Source organism: Homo sapiens, chromosome 20, assembly GCF_000001405.40.
Source record: "Homo sapiens chromosome 20, GRCh38.p14 Primary Assembly".
Lineage (NCBI taxonomy): Eukaryota > Metazoa > Chordata > Mammalia > Primates > Hominidae > Homo > Homo sapiens.
In genome coordinates this window covers 47,328,220-47,346,849 of record NC_000020.11, presented here as the reverse complement: position 1 = coordinate 47,346,849, position 18,630 = coordinate 47,328,220, and the positions used below count along the sequence as shown (strand labels likewise).

Below are 18,630 nucleotides of genomic sequence, written 5' to 3'. Positions count from 1 at the left end.
ACCATCACGAGGTCAGGCGTTCGAGACCAGCCTGGCCAACATGGTGAAACCCCCGTCTCTACTAAAAATACAAAAATTAGTCGGGCATGGTGGCACGCGCCTGTAATCCTAGCTACTTAGGAGGTTGAGGCAGGAGAATCACTTGAACCTGGGAGGCGGAGGTTGCAGTGAGCTGAGATCGCACCACTGCACTCCAGCCTGGGCGACAGAGCAAGACTCCATCTCAAAAAAAAAAAGACAGTATGTCATTTTGGGGCAAAGTTGAGGGTCCAGTAGTCAAGGCTGGGACCTGGGAAGCAGAAGCTGGCTGCTGATCTCTGGCAGGGGTCACAGAAGGGGAGGCACCCTGGGTGGGAAGGCCTGGCTTACTGGGTGGGTGCTGTGTGCTGGGGAGCAGCAGGAGGAGGCTGGGCGGAGGCAGAGGGCTGCTGCCCCCTCATCACAGCATGACCCAGCCTGTGCTGGGTGGCAGGAAGTTTCAGTGCCATTGATGGTGAAGAGAGCTGAGCCACCAGGGACTTCAGAGCAAGGAAGGTACCTTCTCACAGAGGTGTTTTTGATGTTGCAGGAGCACGTGCCTCTCAGCCACTTCTCAGCCCCCTTGTTGTGGTCAGAATCAAATGTGGTCCAGCAGGAGACGGGGCAAAGTGGAGAGGGACTGAAGAGAGGGGGCCAGGAGGGTGGGGGTCTTGTCCCTGTTCTGCTGCTTACCTTCCCCAGGGGGCTTGGACACTGGCTCTGTCCCTTCATTTTTGTATTTGTGAAGTGGGGTGTTGGATTAGATTCTATCCAAGCATGACCAAGCTGAGTGACCATTGTCTCTTTCTCTCTTTTCTCCTACTCCCATCCTCACCCTTCAGCAGCCAGAATGCGCTTCAAAAACGTGGATTGGGGTCAGGCACAGTGGCGCATGCCAATCATCCCAGCTACTTGAGAGACTGAAGTGGGAGGATCAGTTGAGGCCAGGAGTTTGAAACCAGCCTGGGCAACTTAACGAGACCCCCCCCTCCCGCCCCCATCTCTATTAAAAAAAAAAAAGTGGACAGAGTGCGTTGGCTCACGCCTGTAATCTTAGCACTTTGGGAGGGCGAGGCGGGTGGATTGTCTGAGCTCAGGAGTTCGAGACCAGCCTGGGCAACACGGTGAAACCCCATCTCTACTAAAATACAAAAAAATTATCTGGGCGTGGCAGCATGTGCCTATAATCCCAGTTACTTGGGAGGCTGAAGCAGGAGAATTGCTTGAACCCAGGAGGCGGAGGTTGCAGTGAGCCAAGACCACGCCTTTGCACTCCGGCCTAGGGGACAGAGCGAGACTCCGTCTTAAAAAAAAAAAAAAAAAAAGTGGGTCAGGTTCTGTCTCATTTTGCTAACTCCTTCTGATGATTTTCCAGTACCCTTCCACTCAGGTCTGAAGTCACCGTGACCTGCCTACCTGGGCCGGCCCTGTTTACCTTTGTTTCCTTTGTGATGTTCTGTTCACCTTGTGCCATTTCTCCCCCAACTTCACTTGAGCTCCTTGGCCTCCTTCCTCTTGGTTCCTTCCTTGGGGCCCCTGTGTGTCTTTTGCCAGGAGCAGGCTGCCCATTTCTCATTGTGATCTCAGACTTATCTCAGATGGTGGCTCCTCAAAGAGGCTTTTGGTGGCCACGGAGTCTGAAGGAGTCATTTCATTATTTTCTGTTTTAAATATATATATAAAAGACAACGTCTCACTGCACTGTCCTGGCTAGAGTGCACTGGTATGATCATAGCTCACTGTATCCTTGATCTCCTGGGCTCAAAGCTCACTGTAGCCTCAATCTCCTGGGCTCAAGCTATCTTCCCACCTCAGCCTCCTGAGTAGCTGGGACTACAGGTGCACACCACCTCACCTGGCTAATTAAAAAAATTTTTTTTTTGTAGGGATGAGGTCGCAGTGGGTTGCCCAGGCTGGTCTGAAACCCTTGGCCTCAAGTGATCCTCCCTCTTTGACCTCCCAAAGTGCTGGGATTATAGGCATGTGCCACCATGCCTGGCCAATTTTCTATTACATTTTTAAAATGAACTTTTAATTTAACAGTAGTATTAGATTTCCAGAAAAGTTTTGAGGATAGTGCCAAGAGTTCCCATGTTAGCCCCTGGCTCCACACACACAATTTCTTCTATTATTAACATCATACACTAGTGTGGTGTAATTGTTACAAATAATGCATCAATTTTGATATGTTATTACCAACTAAAGGCCATCCCTTATTCAGATTTCCTTCGGTTTCCCACAAAAGTCCCTTTTCCGTTTTAGAATCCCACTCAGGATTCCTCATTACATTTAGTTGTCTGCCTGGGCTCCTGTTGGCTGTGACAGTTTCTTAGACTTTTCTTGTTTTTGTGGAACTTACCGGTTTTCAGGAATACTGGTCGGGTATTTTGTAGATTGTCCTGTCAATTGGGATTTGTATAATGTGTTTCTCATGATTAGACTCTGGTAAACTGTGGTTATGGGTTTTGGGGAGGAAGAAGACTACAGAGGGTAAAATGCCATTTTCATCATATCACATCAAGGGTATGTATTATTAATAAGATCTATCACTGTTGGCCTTGTGCAGTGGCTCACACCTGTAATCTCAGCACTTTGGGAGGCCAAGGTGGGGGGATCATCTGAGGTCAAGAGTTCGAGACCATCCTGGCCAACATGGTGAAACCCTGCCTCTATTAAAAATACAAAAATTAGCTGGGTGTGGTGGCAGGCACCTCTAGTCGCAACTACTCGGGAGGCTGAGGCAGGAGAATCACTTGAACCCGGGGTGGAGGGGGTGGAGACGGAGGTTGTAGTTAGCTGAGACCATGCCACTGCACTCCAGTCTGGGAGATAGAATGAGACTATCTCAAAAAGAAAAAAAAAAAAAAAAAAAAAGATTTATCACTGTTGATGTTGACCATGACCATCTGGCTGTCTTTCTTCTCTTTCCATCCTCTGCTCTTTGGAAGGAAGTCACAAGGCATCACCCACACTTAAGGAGTGAAGAGCTATGCTCCACCTCCTCGAAAGCAGAGGCTTGACATAAATTATTTGGGGGCTGGATGTGGTGGCTCATGCCTGTAATCCCAGCACTTTGGGAGGCCAAGGCGGGCAGATCACTTGAGGCCAGGAGTTCGAGACCAGCCTGGCCAACGTGGCAAAATCCCATCTCTACTAAAAATAACAAACATTGTATGCCTATAATCCCAGCTACTTGGGAGACTGAAGCAGAAAAATCACTTGAACCCGAGAGGCGGAGGTTGCAGTGAGCCAAGATTCCACCACTGCACTCCAGCCTGGGTGACAGTGACACTGTGTCTCAAAAAAAAAAATTTAGAATTCTTCTGTATGGGGTATTAGTCTTTTCTCCCTCATGTATTTATTCAGTCATTTATCTCTAGCAGTGTGGACTCTGGGATGGTTACTTTATACTGTGGGTTGTAATCCAATACTACTTATTTATTTTATTGCTCAAATCATTCCAGCTTTGGCAGTTGGGAGCTCTTTGTGTTGGCTCTTGTGTCCCCTTGACAGACTCCATCGTTGTGGGGTTTATTTATTTGTTCGTTTGAGACAGCCTCGTTCTGCTGCCCAGGCTGGAGTGCAGTGGTATAATCACAGCTCATTGCAGCCTTGACCTGCTGGACTCAAGCAGTCCTCTTGCCTCAGCCTCCCAAGTAGCTGGGACCACAGGCATGCATCACCACAGTTGGCTAATTTTTGTTCTTTTTATTTGTAGAGATGGAGTCTCGCTGTGTTGCCCAGGCTGGTTTTGAATTTCCCAGGCTCAAGTGATCCTACCACTTTGGCCTCCCAAAGTGCTGGGGTTACAGGTGTGAACCACCATGCCCGGCTGGCCTATTTATTTATTTATTGAGCACTTTCTTGTCTTCTGGCACTATAAGATGTTCCAGGCTCATTTTGTATGTCTTTGCCTCAGCCCTAAAATCATCCATTTCTCTATGGATCCTGGTTTCTTTCTTTCTTTTCTTTTTTTTTTTTTTTTGAGATGTAGTCTTGCTCTGTTGCCGAGGCTGGAGTGCGGTGGTGTGATCTCAGCTTACTGTGACTTCCACCTCCTAGTTCAAGCAATTCCTCTGCTCCAGCCTCCATAGTAGCTGGGATTACAGGCACATGTCACCATGCCCGGCTAATTTTTTTGTATTTGTAGTAGAGGCGGGGTTTCACCATGTTGGCCAGGCTAGTCTCGAACTCCTGACCTCAGGCAATCCGCCTGCCTCAGCCTCCCAAAGTGCTGGGATTACAGGCATGAGCCTCCGTGCCCAGCTTTTTTTTTTTTTCTTTGAGACAGAATCTCGCTCTGTCTCCCAGGCTGGAGTGCAGTTGGCGCGATCTTGGCTCACTGCAACCTCCACTTCCCTGGTTCAAGCAATTCCCCTGCCTCAGCCTCCCGAGTAACTGGGATTGCAGGAGCGCACCACCACGCCTGGCTAATTTTTTTGTATTTTTAGTAGAGGCAGGGTTTCACCATGTTGGCCAGGCTAGTCTCGAACTCTTGACCTCAGGTAATCCGCCCGCCTCGGCCTCCCAAAGTGCTGGGATTACAGGTGTGAGCCACCGCACCCAGAGGATCCTGGTTTCTTTTATTGGAGAATAGTATTAGAAACCAAGATGTGGGCACTAAGTGTGCTCGTTTTTGTTTGTTTGTTTGTTCGTTTTTGAGATGGAGTTTCCCTCTGTTGCCCAGGCTGGAGTGCAGTGGCACAATCTCGGCTCATTGCAACCTCTGCCTCCTGGTTTCAAATGATTCTCCTGCCTCAGCCTCCTGAGCAGCTGGGACTACAGGCACACACCACCACGCCTGGCTAAGTTTTGTATTTTTTTTTTTTGAGACGGAGTCACGCCCTGTCACCCAGGCTGGAGTGCAGTGGCGCGATCTCCGCTCACTGCAAGCTCCGCCTCCCGGGTTCACGCCATTCTCCTGCCTCAGCCTCCCAAGTAGCTGGGATTACAGGCGCCCGCCACCACGCCCGGCTAATTTTTTGTATTTTTAGTAGAGACAGGGTTTCCCCATGTTAGGCAGGATGGTCTCGATCTCCTGACCTCGTGATCCACCCGCCTCAGCCTCCCAAAGTGCTGGGATTACAGGCACGAGCCACCGCGCCCGGCCAAGTTTTGTATTTTTAGTAGAGATGGGGTTTCACTATGTTGGCCAGGCTGGTCTGGAACTTCTGACCTTGTGATCCTCCCACCTCGGCCTCCCAAAGTGCTGGGATTGTAGGCATGAACCACCGCACCTGGCCAAGTGTGTGCTCATTGCTACTGGAATGTCTTTGTTCTAGATTCTTTTTTTTTTTTTTTTTTTGAGATGGAGTCTCGCTCTGTCACCTAGGCTGGAATGCAGTGGTGCACTCTCAGCTAACTGCAACCCCTGCCTCCCAGGTTCAAGCAATTCTTCTGCCCCAGCCTTCTAAGTAGCTGGGACTATAGGTATGCACCACCATGCCTGGCTAATTTTTAAATTTTTAGTAGAGATGGGGTTTTGCCATGTTAGCCAGGCTAGTCTCGAACTCCTGACCTCAAGTGATCTGCCCACCTCGGCCTTCCAAAGTGCTGGGATTATAGGTGTGAGCCACCTTGCTTCTAGATTTTCTCAGTAGACAAGGAAGGATATATAGACATACTGTGTAAACATTTTTACATGTATCCATCTGTGTCTATATCAGCTAAACATGAGTTCATTCTCTCGTTTGACCTTTTCGCATTACCACATGGATCATTCTAGCCTTATTCCCTGGTTTCTCTGTAACCTCCTCCTCCAACAGTGAGAAGGCTGGCTTCTACTGTCCACCGTTTGTTTACTATTTTCTGGTACATTTTAACCTGATCTACAGTGTTCAGTCTGATGAACTTTAACACACGTTCGCACTCATGGGGCCCTGACCCAGATCAAGATAATTAAACATTTCCAGCATCCAGAGCGTCCTCTATCCCTCTGATTTTGTTTATAGCCTTTGTCCTCACTTTGTATTTTCTTATTTGTTACTCTGCTAGAATGCTGGCTGCTGTATTTTTTTTTTTTTTACATTAAAAAAAATACTTTTTGAGACAGAGTCTTGCTCTGTTGCCCAGGCTGGAGTGCAGTGGCTTGACCTTGGCTCGCTGCAACCTTCATTTCCCGGGTTCAAGTGATTCTCCTGCCTCAGCCTCCTGAGTAGCTGGGGCATACGCCGCCACACCCAGCTAATTTTTTAATTTTTAGTAGAGATGGGTTTTCACCATGTTGGCCAGGCTGGTCTCGAACTCCTGATCTCAAGTGATCTGCTCGCCTCAGCCTCCCAAAGTGGTGGGATTGTAGGCGTGAGCCACCACGCCTCCGGCCTTTTTTTTTTTTTAAGACATGGAATCTCACTGTGTTGCGCAGGCTGCAGTGTAGTGCAGTGGTTATTCACAGTTGCCATCATAGTACACTATAGCCTCTAACTCCTGGGCTCAGGTGATTCTCTTGCTTCAGCCTCCCGAGTAGCTGGGACTGTAAGTGCGCACCATGGTTTCAAGTTCCCTCTTTAAGCACCCCTGGACCACCATTCTTACTTACCCCAATGATTTGAGAGGCAAGGTGTCATTGAGATTTAAAACACCTGGCTTCTGGCTGGGTGGCTTATGCCTGTAATCCCAGCACTTTGGGAGGCCAAGCACTTTGAGAGGCGGATCATGAGGTCAGGAGTTTGAGACCAGCCTGGCCAATATGGTGAAACCCAGTGTCCACTAAAAATAGAAAATTAGCTGGGTGTGGTGGCAGGCACCTGTAATCTCAGCTACTCAGGAGGCTGAGGCAGGGGAATCGCTGGAAACCAGGAGGCAGAGGTTGCAGGGAGCTGAGATCGTGCCCCTGCACTCCAGCCTGGGTGACAGAGTGAGACTCCGTCTCAAAAAAAAACAAAAACCACCTGGCTTCTAGAGCCAGATTTCCTGGTTCTGTCTTGCCCCCTTTCTAGCTGAGTTATTCCTTGTGGCTAGGTTTCCTTTTGTAAATGGGGATGATAAAGATAGAAGGTTATGGCTAAGATGAACTTTGCTCACACAGATAGAATGCTCAGAATGGTTCTTGGGGCCGGGTGTGGTGCCTCACTCACGCCTGTGATCCCAGCATTTTGGGAAGCCGAGGTGGGCGGATCATGAGGTAAGGAGATCGAGACCATCCTGGCTAACATGGTGAAACCCCGTCTCTACTAAAAATACAAAAAATTAGCCAGGCGTGGTCGCGGGTGCCTGTAGTCCCAGCTACTCAGGAGGCTGAGGCAGGAGAATGGCGTGAACCCGGGAGGCGGAGCTTGCAGTGAGCAGAGATTGCGCCACTGCACTCCAGCCTGGGCGACAGAGTGAGACTCCGTCTCAAAAAAGAATGGTTCTTGGGACAGGGTGGCTGCTCAAAAATGTTAGCTATGATTTGCATCAACTTAGAGACAGTGAATTTTTATTGCTAGGTCTGTCAGGTGGTGAGAATGACTGTTCTGCCATTTCCCCCACTTGCAGCCTCTAGGAAGAAGGTCTGGAGGCAGATGAGGAAACCATGCCCGGAAGACCCCCTGCTTAGAGGGGGCACAGTGAAGAATTGTGGGCCGGGCACTGTGGCTCATGCCTGTAATCCCAGCACTTTGGGAGGCCGAGGCGGGCGGATCACAAGGTCAGGAGATCGAGACCATTTTGGCCAACACAGTGAAACCCCGTCTCTACTAAAAATACAAAAAATTAGCCGGGCGTGGAGGTGGGCGCCTGTAGTCCTAGCTACTTGGGAGGTTGAGGCAGGAAAATGGCATGAACCTGGGAGGCAGAGCTTGCAGTGAGCCAAGATCACGCCACTGCACTCCAGCCTGGGTGACAGAGCGAGACTCTGTCTCACAAAAAAAAAAAAAAAAAGAAATAATTGTGTAGGGTTGCCCAGCAGGCAGGCTCGGGACCAGATAGGAATTTGCTTCTCTCCATCTAGGAGTCCAGTGCTTTGCACTGCCCTGCAAGCTTCCTGTCCTGTTGGCCTCTGTGACATTTGAAGAAGCCATTCTGCAGGTGTTTGGAAGGATTTTCTCGGGTGCTTGGGAATTCTTGCTTTGGTAGGGAATCATTGAGGGGAAGGGATCACCTTGTTTTGAGGGAGAACTTTCCCCAAGGATTCTCTGGGGTGGTTGTCGTTATGTGAAACTGAGCTCTCGTGCCCCATAGTGAGTGGCGGTGGTGGTAGCTTCTGTTTCCAGAGCACCTTTCTGCCGGAGCCACTTGGCTTAATATTCAAAGTCCTGGGGTTAAGATTGGGGTTGCTGAGGTTCCCAGAGCTGAAGTCTGCATGGTGAAAATATGATGTCTGTGAAGCTGACCGGGATGAAGCCTTATCTCTTGTTCAGTCCCAGTGATCTCAGCGTCCGCAGTGGGATGATCTCCAGGCTCAGTGAACATGTTTTTTTTTTTCCTCCAGCCTGCTTTTCTTGGGAAGTTTAGGGACTCTGTTCCCCTGTGACATGACCCGGGTCAGGGTCCTTCGGTTCTGAGCAGGAAAGGGATGGACTGCAGGTGGTCTGTTGGTGTGAAGCTGCTCCCACTGCATTGGTGGGAAGGCTGGAGGTCCAGGCCACTCTCGGGAGTAGAGCCAGCCCGGAGCCTCCTCAGGGACAATAGCGCAAAGTCCATGTGCACGTCTCTGGCCAGGGAAGGGCTAATATCCTGGACACCTGGACCCACCAACGCTGTCCCCACTGGGAAAGAGATGGGTCCTCAAAAGGAGATAAGGTGACCACTCTACCATCTTATGAACCTGGCAACGTGTTTTTCTCTACTTGCACTTAGAAAACAGGTGCTGAGCCGTCCTCTTCTTGGGAAACTTAGAAACTCTGACAATAATTGGTGCAGAATTCCTCAGTCCTATTCCTACATCTAGTCCATGTGACCTTTCAGTTTCTCTAACTGAATTTCAATTTTTACGCCCCTCTCCCCTTGACACATACTCACTTATTAACTGAGTAATTCCCAAGCCAGTCATTGCCATTATGCCAGCCTTGGCATTTAGTAGAGCGTTTTAGCTCTCAGGAGACAAAGCTTTCGAGCTTTCAAGATGTCAGGTTGACATTTGTGTCCGAGGGTAATGATCCTGCTGAAAGATGCTCCTACATCAATGGGAAGTGCCATCTCGATGCCAGGTGTGTTTGCGTGGCTAATATTTTCTGAGTACTTCATGGCATGATATGCAAATTACTTCATTTAATTTTCATACTAATTCCATGATGTGGGTGTGTCATTCCCATTTTACAGTTAAGGAAACTGAGGCTCAGATGAATTAAGGAAGTGTCAAAGTAGGGATGGAACTAGGGTCAGGTTTTATCTTTATTTATTTATTAATTATATAGAGGGTTATTGCCGTGTTGCCCAGGCTGCTCTTGAACTCGTGGGCTCAAGGGATCCACCTACCTCGGCTTTCCAAAGTGCTAGGTTTACAGGCGTGAGCCACCACTCCCGGCCCTTTGATTTATTTTATTTTATTTTATTTATTTATTTTTTTGAGACAGAGTCTCCCTCCATCACCCAGGCTGGAGTGCCTATCTCGGCTTACTGCAGCCTCCGCCTCCTGGATTCAATTGATTCTCGTGTCTCAGCCTCCGGTGTAGCTGGGGTTACAGGCGCCTGCCACCACGCCCGGCTAATTTTTGTATTTTTAGTAGAGACAGGGTTTCACTGTGTTGGCCAGGCTGGTCTCGAATTCCTGACCTCAGGTGATCCACCCGCCTTGGCCTCCCAAAGTGCTGGGATTACAGGCGTGAGCCACCGTGCCTGGCTGGCCCTTTGATTTTTAAACCTTTTTTTTTTTTTTTGATAAGAGTGTTTAATGTCCCTAGATTTTAAACCTTTGTACTTAACCATGACCTGTATTCCAAGGGTTGCAAGTCAAATGCCTGAAGGGCCCAGCAGGTAGATCAGTGATTGTGGCTGGCATCTGGGGATGCAGGGGGAAGGGGAGCTTTGGTGAATGGGAGAGTGTGCCAAAGTGGGGAGGGTGCCTCCATCTGATTGCTGACCAGCAGGAATATGGCTCATCCGCTGTGGCCAGCTGGGATTTTCTTTTCCCCTGTAAAACTGCCTCATTTAGAAATGTGGTCTGTGTAGACTGGCTTCTCTAAAGATCATGCGTGAACCCAACAAAACGCATTTCCGGGTCAGAAGAAGCCGAGGGCTGTCATTTTGCATTCCCTGTGCGAGACTGGCCAAGGCACAATTCATTGCAGAATTTGGCCTCACCATGCGTGAGTCAGAACAAGCGCCTTGAAGGCCAGGGATTTGCAGCCTGAGAAATGATGTACTCCGCGGGTTGAATTCACGTCTCCATACAAAGGCTCCCCTGTTTGGGCTGCTTGCGTCTTGATCCTGCCATGTGTGCGTTTTGTGGTAGTGCTTGTGGTGTGTGGATGCCAGCCTGCCAAAGCTGAAACCATTTTTAAAAATGTCTGTGTAATGTCACCGGCACAAGGGAATGAACGACTTGGAAACACGCACAGATGCAGCGGAAGCCCAGGATATTAAAATCTTGAACAGTATCATTCTTGCTGAGATTTGCTGGGGGTATGGATGTGTTTTCAGAGACAGGATGCTAGAGAATGTACAATTATAGCAATTTGCTAACCAGCCCCAGACCTTAATTAGCACAGGATCCTTGTTCTCACTGTTGTATGTAAATTAAGACTTTCACAAAGGGATTGTTTATGAGGACGGCTGTGAGATAGAGACCTTCTGTCATTTTTCAAGGAAACTCTTTCAGAAAATATAACCACAAACACTTTTAAATCACAGCGCGATGCAGAAGTGCTGAGAATTTTTCTTTCAAAAAATGAGCATCAGTATTTTTAACCGTATTTTGGCTCCTCTCTATCTCTGACAGCCCAAGAAGTGCCATCCGTGTACTGTGCAGTGGAAAGAATTTATTTGTGAGTTAGATGACTACCAGATTGTTCCTCTCCTAACAAGGTCTAAAATATCCCAGAACTCTGAAGATGTCTGATTATGGTTTTGCAAATGAGAAATCTTCTACCTTCTCTTGGCCAGCATCGTCTCTACTGTGCATCTGTTCATGGAATCCTGTCGGCAGTGTCTGTGCAATTTAGCTTTGTGGTTCACTCATGCAAACCTTGTGTTTGCCCCATTTTTGAAGCATGACCCACGTTATATGTTTGTGTGACTATTATTATTCTAGAAGACTGTGATCTAAAATCGACCGTTTCAAGCTTAGTTTAAAAAGAACCATCTCTTCTTTTTCCTCTCTAAATGCCTGTAGAATAAGCATATCAGGGCTGAGGCCTTTTAGAGATCTGGGTACTTTTTATTGCCTTATTAAAGTCGTCATTCCTTCATTGTTCTCTATTGATAGTGGATCCTTTACCGATGACTTGAGGTGATCAGTTTGGAAAGACCAGGTGTCATGGCTGTGGGGGGGTGAGGGTGAGTGGAATGATAATAAGCCCCCTTCAACTTCCTGTGACTCCCCTCACCTATCCTGGGCTTTCCTGGGAACCTAGAGATCCAGCGCTTTATAGACTTAAAAAAAAAATACCTTTATTGACATATAATTCACATACCATACAATTCTCCTTTTTTTTTGTTTGTTTGTTTGAGACAGGGTCTCTCTCTGTCGCCCAAGCTGGAGTGCAGTGGGACGATCTCGGCTCACTGCAGCTTTGATTTCCTGGCTCAAGCAGTCCTCCCACTGCAGCCTCCCGAGTAGCTGGGACTACAGGTGTGCACTACCACCCCTGGCTAATGTTTATATTTTTTTGTAGAGATGAGGTTTCACTATGTTGCCCAGGCTGGTCTTGAACTCCTGGGCTCAAGCGATCCTCCTGTCTTGGCCTCCCAAAGTGCTGGGATTGCTGGTGTGAGCCACCACTCCTGGGCCCAGTTCTCCATTTAAAGTGAATAGTTTGATGGTTTTTAATATATTTTCACGGAGACCGGGTGTGGTGGCTGACGCCTGTAATCCCAGCACTTTGGGAGGCCGAGGCGGGTGGATCACCTGAGGTCAGGAGTTCCGACCAGCCTGGCCAACATGGTGAAACCCTGTCTCCACTAAAAATACAAAAAATTAGCTGAGTGTGGTGGCGTGTGCCTGTAATCCCAGCTACTCAGCAGGCTGAGGCGGGAGAATTGCTTGAACGTGGGACGTGGAGGTTGCAGTGAGCCAAGATCGTGCCACTGTACTCCAGCCCGGGTGACAGAGCAAGACTGCCTAAAATATATATATATATATATATATTTTTTTTTTTCACAGAGTTGTGCAGCCAACAGCACAATCAGTTGTAGATTTTCATCACCCCCAATAAGAAACTTCATACTCATTAGCAGTCACTTCCCATTCCCCCGTTACCCCTGTGCCTGGCAAGTACCAGTCTACTTTCTGTGCCTGTGGATTTGCTTATGCTAGACATTTCATATAAATGGAATCATACAGTATGTGACCTTTTGGTCTGAGTTCGTTCACTTAGAATAATGTTTTCAAGGCTCATCCACATTCTTGTAGCATAGATCATCAGTACAGACAGTTCCTGACTTATAGTGGTGCGGAAGTGACAGTTCAGTACAAACAGTACTTGGCATTTTGGATTTTTGATCTTTTCTCTGGCTAGCATCAGTATGAGACTCTCTTGGGGTGCCAGGCACCTCCCAGTCAGCCACATGATCACGAGGGTAAACAAACAATCTATACGACCATTCTGTTTTCACTTTCATTATGGTATTCCATAAATTACATGAGAGAGTCAACACTATTATACAATAGGCTTCGCATTAGATGATTTTGCCTAACTCTAAGTGTTCTGAGCACATTTAAGGTAGGCTAGGCTAAGCTATGATGTTCCCTAGGTTATGTATATTCGATGCTTATTTATTTATTTATTCATTTATTCATTCCTCCCTCCTTCCCTTTCTTAATTTCCTTTTTTTTCTTTTTTTTTTGAGATGGAGTCTCACTTTGTCACCCAGGCTGGAGTGCAGTGGCACTATCTCAGCTCACTGCACCCCTCTGCTTCCTGGTTCAAGCGATTCTCCTGCCTCAGCCTCCTGAGTAGCTGGGACTAGAGGTGAGCACCATCACGCCCAGCTAATGTTTTTTTTTTTTTTTTTTTTTTTTTTTTTTTTGAGACGGAGTCTCGCTCTGTCACCAGGCTAGAGTGCAGTGGCACTATCTCGTGTCACTGCAACCTTTGCCTCCCAGGTTCAAGCGATTCTCCTGCCTTAGTCTCCCGAGGAGCTGGGACTACAGGCATGTGCCACCACGCCCAGCTAATTTTTGTATGTTTAGTAGAGACGAGGTTTCACCATGTTGGCCAGGATGGTCTCAATCTCTTGATGTGATCCACCTGCCTCGGCCTCCCAAAGTGTTGGGATTACAGATGAGAGCCACTGTGCCCTGCCATGTATTTTTAGTAGAGACGGGGTTTCACCTGTTGGCCAGGCTGGTCTTGAACTCCTGACCTCAAGTGATCTGCCTCCCTCAGTCTCTCAAAGTGCTGCCTGCCTTACTTTCTGATGGGGTCTCACGATGTTGCCCAGGCTGGAGTGCAATGGTGTCCTCAAGGGATCCTCTGGTGTAGCTGGGACTACAGGAGTGTACCACTATGTCTGGCTTAAATGCATTTGTGTTTTTTTATCTCTCTCTCTCTCATATATATATGTTTTGTAGACCCAGGGGTCTCACTGTGTTGCCTAGGCTGGTCTGGAACTCTTGGGCTCAAGTGATCCTCTGGCCTTAGTCTCCTGAAGTGTTGGGATTACAGGCATGAGCCACTGTGTGTGACCTCATTTTTGACTTCTGGTACTTACATTTTATGGGTTTATCATCTGTAACTCCATCGTGAGTTGAGGAGGGTCTGTAGTTCATTTCCTTTTATGACTGAATAATGCTGCATTGGATGGATATGCTACACTTTGTTTATCTATGTATGTGTTGATGGACGTTTGAGTTGTGTCCACTTTCTGGCTAGTAGGGATAATGCTGCGGTGAGTGTTCATGTCTGAGTTTTTGTGCAGACACGACACATCATTTCTCTTGGGTATAGATTTAGGAGTGAAATTGTGGGGTCATAGGGTAACTATTAACCTTTTGAAGAATATACACATTTAAATTTTTTGTGTTGTCTTTATTTATTTTTTTGAGATAGGGGCTTGCTCTGTTCCCCAGACGGGAGTGCAGTGGCATGATCCTCGCTCACTGCAGCCATGAACTTCTGGGCTCAAGCAATCCTCCCATCTCAGCCTCTTGAGTAGCTGGGACTACCTGTACATGCCACCATGCCTGACTAATTCTTTAATTTTTTGTAGCGACAGAGTCTTGCTATGTTGCCCAGGCTGGTCTCCAACTCATGGGCTCAAGTGATCCTCCTGCCTTGGCCTGCCAACGTACTGGGATTATAGGTGTGATCCACCATGCTTGGAGTCACAGACTTTTAAAGGCACTTGTCTCCCCTCTCTGCTGTCTTGACCCCCACATCTTTCCTACTAGCAACTGCTGTATTTCTGTCCTCTTCTTCAAAGCCAAACTTATTTTTTTTTTGAGATTGAGTCTCACTATATTGCCCAGGCTGGAGTGCAGTGGCACAATTTTGGCTCACTACAACCTCTGCCTCCCGGGTTCAAATGATTCTCATGTCTCAGCCTCCTGAGTAGCTGGGATTATAGGCGCACGTCACCATGCTCGGCTAATTTTTGTATTTTTAGTAGAGACGGGGTTTCACCATGTTGGTCAGGCTGGTCTTGAACTCCTGACCTCGTGATCCGCCTGCCTCAGCCTTCCAAAGTGTATTTTTTACACTTTTTGTATTTTTAGTAGAGACGGGGTTTCACCATGTTGGTCAGGCTGGTCTTGAACTCCTGACCTCATGATCTGCCTGCCTCAGCCTTCCAAAGTGCTGGGATTACAGGCGTGAGCCACCGCGTCCAGCAAGCCAAACTTCTTAGAAGCGTCTGTATTCCTGTCTTTGTCCTGCAAGCTCCAATGTGGCTTCCACCCTGACCTTCCACATTCACATCCCCACTGAGCTTCCTGGAGACTCTGTGTTGCCTTTTCCAGGGGAGGTTTTCCATCCTCATCTGCTGCGCTGTCTCTGCAGTACTGGAGATGCTGATTATTCTTGTGGACACTCTCTCTTCCTTTGCCTTCTTTGCCACCGCAGTGCTGATTTTCCTTCTGTTTCCCTGGCACCTTCTCCTCCTCTCTCTGGCCATTAAATGCTGGAGTTGCTGAAAGCTTGGCCCTGTCCTTGTCTCGCCTAGCACGTTCCTTCTCTGGGTGATCTTACCCACATCTGGAGCTTTATGACTCAGACATTTATGTTTCCAACCTAGATTGCTTCTGAGTCATGGTGCAGAGGGTCAGCTGCCTACCTGACCTCCCTGCCTGTTCATGGGCGTCTCAAACTCAAGATGTCCATGAGAGATTTTACATCTTCACCCCCAGAGATATGGACTCATTCCCCATTCTTCTGTTCTTTGCCCTTTTGTGTCATTTTCTTACAATATCGTATCCTAAATGTCACTCCACTTCAACCAGCCTATCACCATTGAACTACAGTGGCCTCGTAGTTGTTCTCACTATCTCTATCTGCCGCACCCTCCCAGTCTTTTGAAAGGAACATCTTCCTGGCTATCCCTTCCTACTTTAAACTCTTAAGTGTTTCCTCCTTGGCTTTTAGATTCATAATTGCAAAACCCTCCTGTGCTGGCCTCTGCCCATCTTGCTAGTCTCTGTTCTCTCTGTGTTCCATTCTCTCCGTGTTCCGTTCTCTCTGTGTTCCACTTCTCTCCGTGTTCCACTTCTCTCTTCTCCAGCCACACTGACTGTGCAGATCCATCAAAGCCTCAGGGCCTTTGCCCATACCTTGAAGGTCCCCTCCTTGCCTTCCTCTCCTTACTCCCCATCAATTTTAAGGCTCAAAATGAGGATGAGTTCTGCCTTTTGTTTTTGCTCATCCTGTTTTACTACCACCTTGCCTGCTGCTGGTGAGCGTATAATAAATATTTTTTTGAATGAACAAATGATTTAGCTCTATCAGATGGGTAGAACTTCTATCCTAGAGACTGAAGTAAAAGCAGCCTTTCGGCGAGAGAGGATGGCTTTGTTTTCAGCATTAATCCAGTGCCTGGAGATTATTACCCAGCTCAAGTGTCTGTTCTCTGCAAAGCGACTGGTGGCCTGTCTTCCTTTTCCCTCTAGGGACATAGTACTCTTTGAAATGGCCCTTTCCCCCTGGTTTCTTTGCTTTCTGACATATTAGTATAACTTCTAATGGGCGCCTTCTAAAACACAAGTCAGATTGTCCCACTCTCCTTTAAATTTGCAGTGGCTCCTTAAGAACACAGCCTTAAGGGCATGGTGTCTCACGCCTGTAATCCCAGCATTTTGGGAGGCTGAGGCAGGAGGATAGCTTAAGCCCAGGAGTTCAAGACCAGCCTGGGCAAAGTGGCAAGACCCACCCGTTCCTACAAAAAAAAAAAAAAAAAAAAGCAAAAAACCCAGGCATGGTGGCTTGTCTCTGCAGACCCAGCTACTTGGGAGGCTGAGGTGGGAGGATATCTTGAGCCCAGAAGGTGGAGCCTGCAGTGAGCTATGATCTTGCCACTGCACTGCAGGGGTCCTGCAGCATCTGTCTTTCCTGGACAGACTGCACGGCCTTGTGAGAGTCCTGTGATGTGCACCTTGCTGAGACACACTTGGCATTGCCTTCCAGACTGACCTTCGTGAGGACCATCCTCACTGTGTCCATGGAGACCCAAGCCCTCTCTTGGCCTGAACCCTTTATTTACAGTCTCCCACAGAGAAGTTCTTTTAGGTTCCAAAGTCAAAAATCACTCTTCAAAGTACCTTAAATTGCCCACGAAAGTATTCAGCTTTGATCAGAAATTCGTATGCATACTAAAGAGTTAACAATTGCCAGGCTAGACTAAAGGAGTGAAAGGTGAATCCATATTCACATTTCCCTGCATCCGGTGCCTTGAATTCAACTACTCAGTCCCTAGAGGCAAATTGGGATGGGTGGATGATTGTGCAGTGTCCTGCTTGCTTGCCAGGCATGCTTCTTTGTCTTAATATTAAGCTTCTGCAGCTGTGCTGTCCAACACAGTCGCCACTAGCTGTACGTGGCTCTTTAAATTTACATTAACAAGCCAGGCGTGGTGGCTCACGCCTGTAATCCCAGCACTTTGGGAGGGCAAGGTGGGTGGATCACCTGAGGTTGGGAGTTTGAGACCAGCCTGACCAACATGGAGAAACCCCGCCTCTACTAAAAATACAGAATTAGCCAGGCATGGTGGTGCATGCCTGTAATCCCAGCTACTCAGGAGGATGAGGCTGGAGAATCGCTTGAACTCGGGAGGAGGAGGTTGCGGTGAGCTGAGATCACGCCATTGCACTCCAGCCTGGGCAATAAGAGCAAAACTCCATCTCCAAAAAAAAAAATTAGATTTACAAAATAAAATTCATTCCTCAGCTGCCCTGGCCACGTGTCAAGTGTCTGACAGCCACAGGTGATTAGAGGCTGCTGTTATTAGACAGCACTGATAGAGAACAGATCGAGAACATTGCCATCATTCGAGCAAGCTTGATTGGATCACACTGTTCCGTAGCCTTAGTAGATTAATGGATTTGTTGTGCATGCTGTGCTGAATGCTGTAGGTGAAGCTATGTCGCCAGGGGACACAGCACTGAACATGTTCCATGCATGATTATTGAGTTTTAAGTTTTGCTTGGTCATTGCCTCCTGAGCTTGCCTATTCTTTGAAAAGTTGTGCAGAGAACACAGTCCTCTTTCTATCTTTGCAAGTTGGTGTGTTTTGTTCAGGCCCTGCTGAATTCCCTTTTTGCCAGGCCCCTTGGCACCTAGGCCTGACTGGGGTAAAGTTCCACAGGATATGCCAGGGAGCTGGGCGGTCCTCCCTCCAGCCTTCAACATGCTTTACCGTAATTATGCATTTACCTGTGTGTCTCTTCTAGACTGATAGACCAAATAACTCTCACCTCTTTAGACTAACAAGGGACTGGCATTTCATGGTAGTTGCCCATTAAATGTTTTGTGAATGAAGGATCTCTTCCAAGAACTGGAAACTAACTTGGCCAGGCACGGTGGCTCATGCCTGGAATCCCAGCACTTTGGGAGGCCAGTGCATTACCTGAGGTCAGGAGTTCAAGACCAGCCTGGCCAAGATGGTGAAACCCTGTCTCTACTAAAAATACAAAAATTAGCTGGGTGTGGTGGCACGCGCCTGTAATCCCAGCTACTCGGGAGGCTGAGGCAGGAGAATCGCTTGAACCTGGGAGGCAGAGGTTGTAGTGAGCTGAGATCATGCCACTGCACTCCAGCTTGGACAACAGACTCTGTCTCGAAAAAAAAAAGAATTAACTTTTTGTGGGGTGGCAGAGGGGTTAAGGTTTATTGGATTTTCCTTTCAAATGATAAAAATCAGTGTATCTCCTTGACAACAAGCCAAAGTATACAAAGAAAAAGCTAAAAATCTTCTCCTGCCAGGTAACCAGTGATAACAGTTTGGTATGTTTTTGTCTATACCACCCTCTCCATGCTTATAAAAATGTCAAAAAACTTATGCAATACCTATAATGGGGTTGAACTTTCTAGGACCTGGCCATCCTAG

At 47.7% G+C, this 18,630-nt stretch overlaps 1 protein-coding gene across 20 annotated transcripts in view, besides 7 other annotated features; it reads left to right on the top strand.

Annotated features, from left to right (window-relative positions):
* ZMYND8 (zinc finger MYND-type containing 8) overlaps positions 1 to 18,630 on the top strand; it is a 147,486-nt gene that overhangs the window by 9,850 nt on the left and 119,006 nt on the right. The window lies entirely within an intron of this gene.
* Positions 253 to 999: an enhancer, noted in NCBI's record as "H3K27ac-H3K4me1 hESC enhancer chr20:45974595-45975341 (GRCh37/hg19 assembly coordinates)". NCBI's record gives its function as "activates a minimal SCP1, AML or CMV promoter by ChIP-STARR-seq in naive and primed H9 embryonic stem cells {active_cell/tissue: H9 hESC(naive and primed)}" and the evidence as "EXISTENCE:reporter gene assay evidence [ECO:0000049][PMID:30033119]".
* Positions 3,774 to 4,555: an enhancer, noted in NCBI's record as "H3K27ac-H3K4me1 hESC enhancer chr20:45971039-45971820 (GRCh37/hg19 assembly coordinates)". NCBI's record gives its function as "activates a minimal SCP1, AML or CMV promoter by ChIP-STARR-seq in naive H9 embryonic stem cells {active_cell/tissue: H9 hESC(naive)}" and the evidence as "EXISTENCE:reporter gene assay evidence [ECO:0000049][PMID:30033119]".
* Positions 6,966 to 7,465: an enhancer, noted in NCBI's record as "H3K4me1 hESC enhancer chr20:45968129-45968628 (GRCh37/hg19 assembly coordinates)". NCBI's record gives its function as "activates a minimal SCP1, AML or CMV promoter by ChIP-STARR-seq in naive H9 embryonic stem cells {active_cell/tissue: H9 hESC(naive)}" and the evidence as "EXISTENCE:reporter gene assay evidence [ECO:0000049][PMID:30033119]".
* Positions 9,470 to 10,308: an enhancer, noted in NCBI's record as "H3K27ac-H3K4me1 hESC enhancer chr20:45965286-45966124 (GRCh37/hg19 assembly coordinates)". NCBI's record gives its function as "activates a minimal SCP1, AML or CMV promoter by ChIP-STARR-seq in primed H9 embryonic stem cells {active_cell/tissue: H9 hESC(primed)}" and the evidence as "EXISTENCE:reporter gene assay evidence [ECO:0000049][PMID:30033119]".
* Positions 10,309 to 11,148: an enhancer, noted in NCBI's record as "H3K27ac-H3K4me1 hESC enhancer chr20:45964446-45965285 (GRCh37/hg19 assembly coordinates)". NCBI's record gives its function as "activates a minimal SCP1, AML or CMV promoter by ChIP-STARR-seq in primed H9 embryonic stem cells {active_cell/tissue: H9 hESC(primed)}" and the evidence as "EXISTENCE:reporter gene assay evidence [ECO:0000049][PMID:30033119]".
* Positions 15,106 to 15,606: an enhancer, noted in NCBI's record as "H3K27ac hESC enhancer chr20:45959988-45960488 (GRCh37/hg19 assembly coordinates)". NCBI's record gives its function as "activates a minimal SCP1, AML or CMV promoter by ChIP-STARR-seq in naive H9 embryonic stem cells {active_cell/tissue: H9 hESC(naive)}" and the evidence as "EXISTENCE:reporter gene assay evidence [ECO:0000049][PMID:30033119]".
* Positions 17,194 to 17,841: an enhancer, noted in NCBI's record as "H3K27ac hESC enhancer chr20:45957753-45958400 (GRCh37/hg19 assembly coordinates)". NCBI's record gives its function as "activates a minimal SCP1, AML or CMV promoter by ChIP-STARR-seq in naive H9 embryonic stem cells {active_cell/tissue: H9 hESC(naive)}" and the evidence as "EXISTENCE:reporter gene assay evidence [ECO:0000049][PMID:30033119]".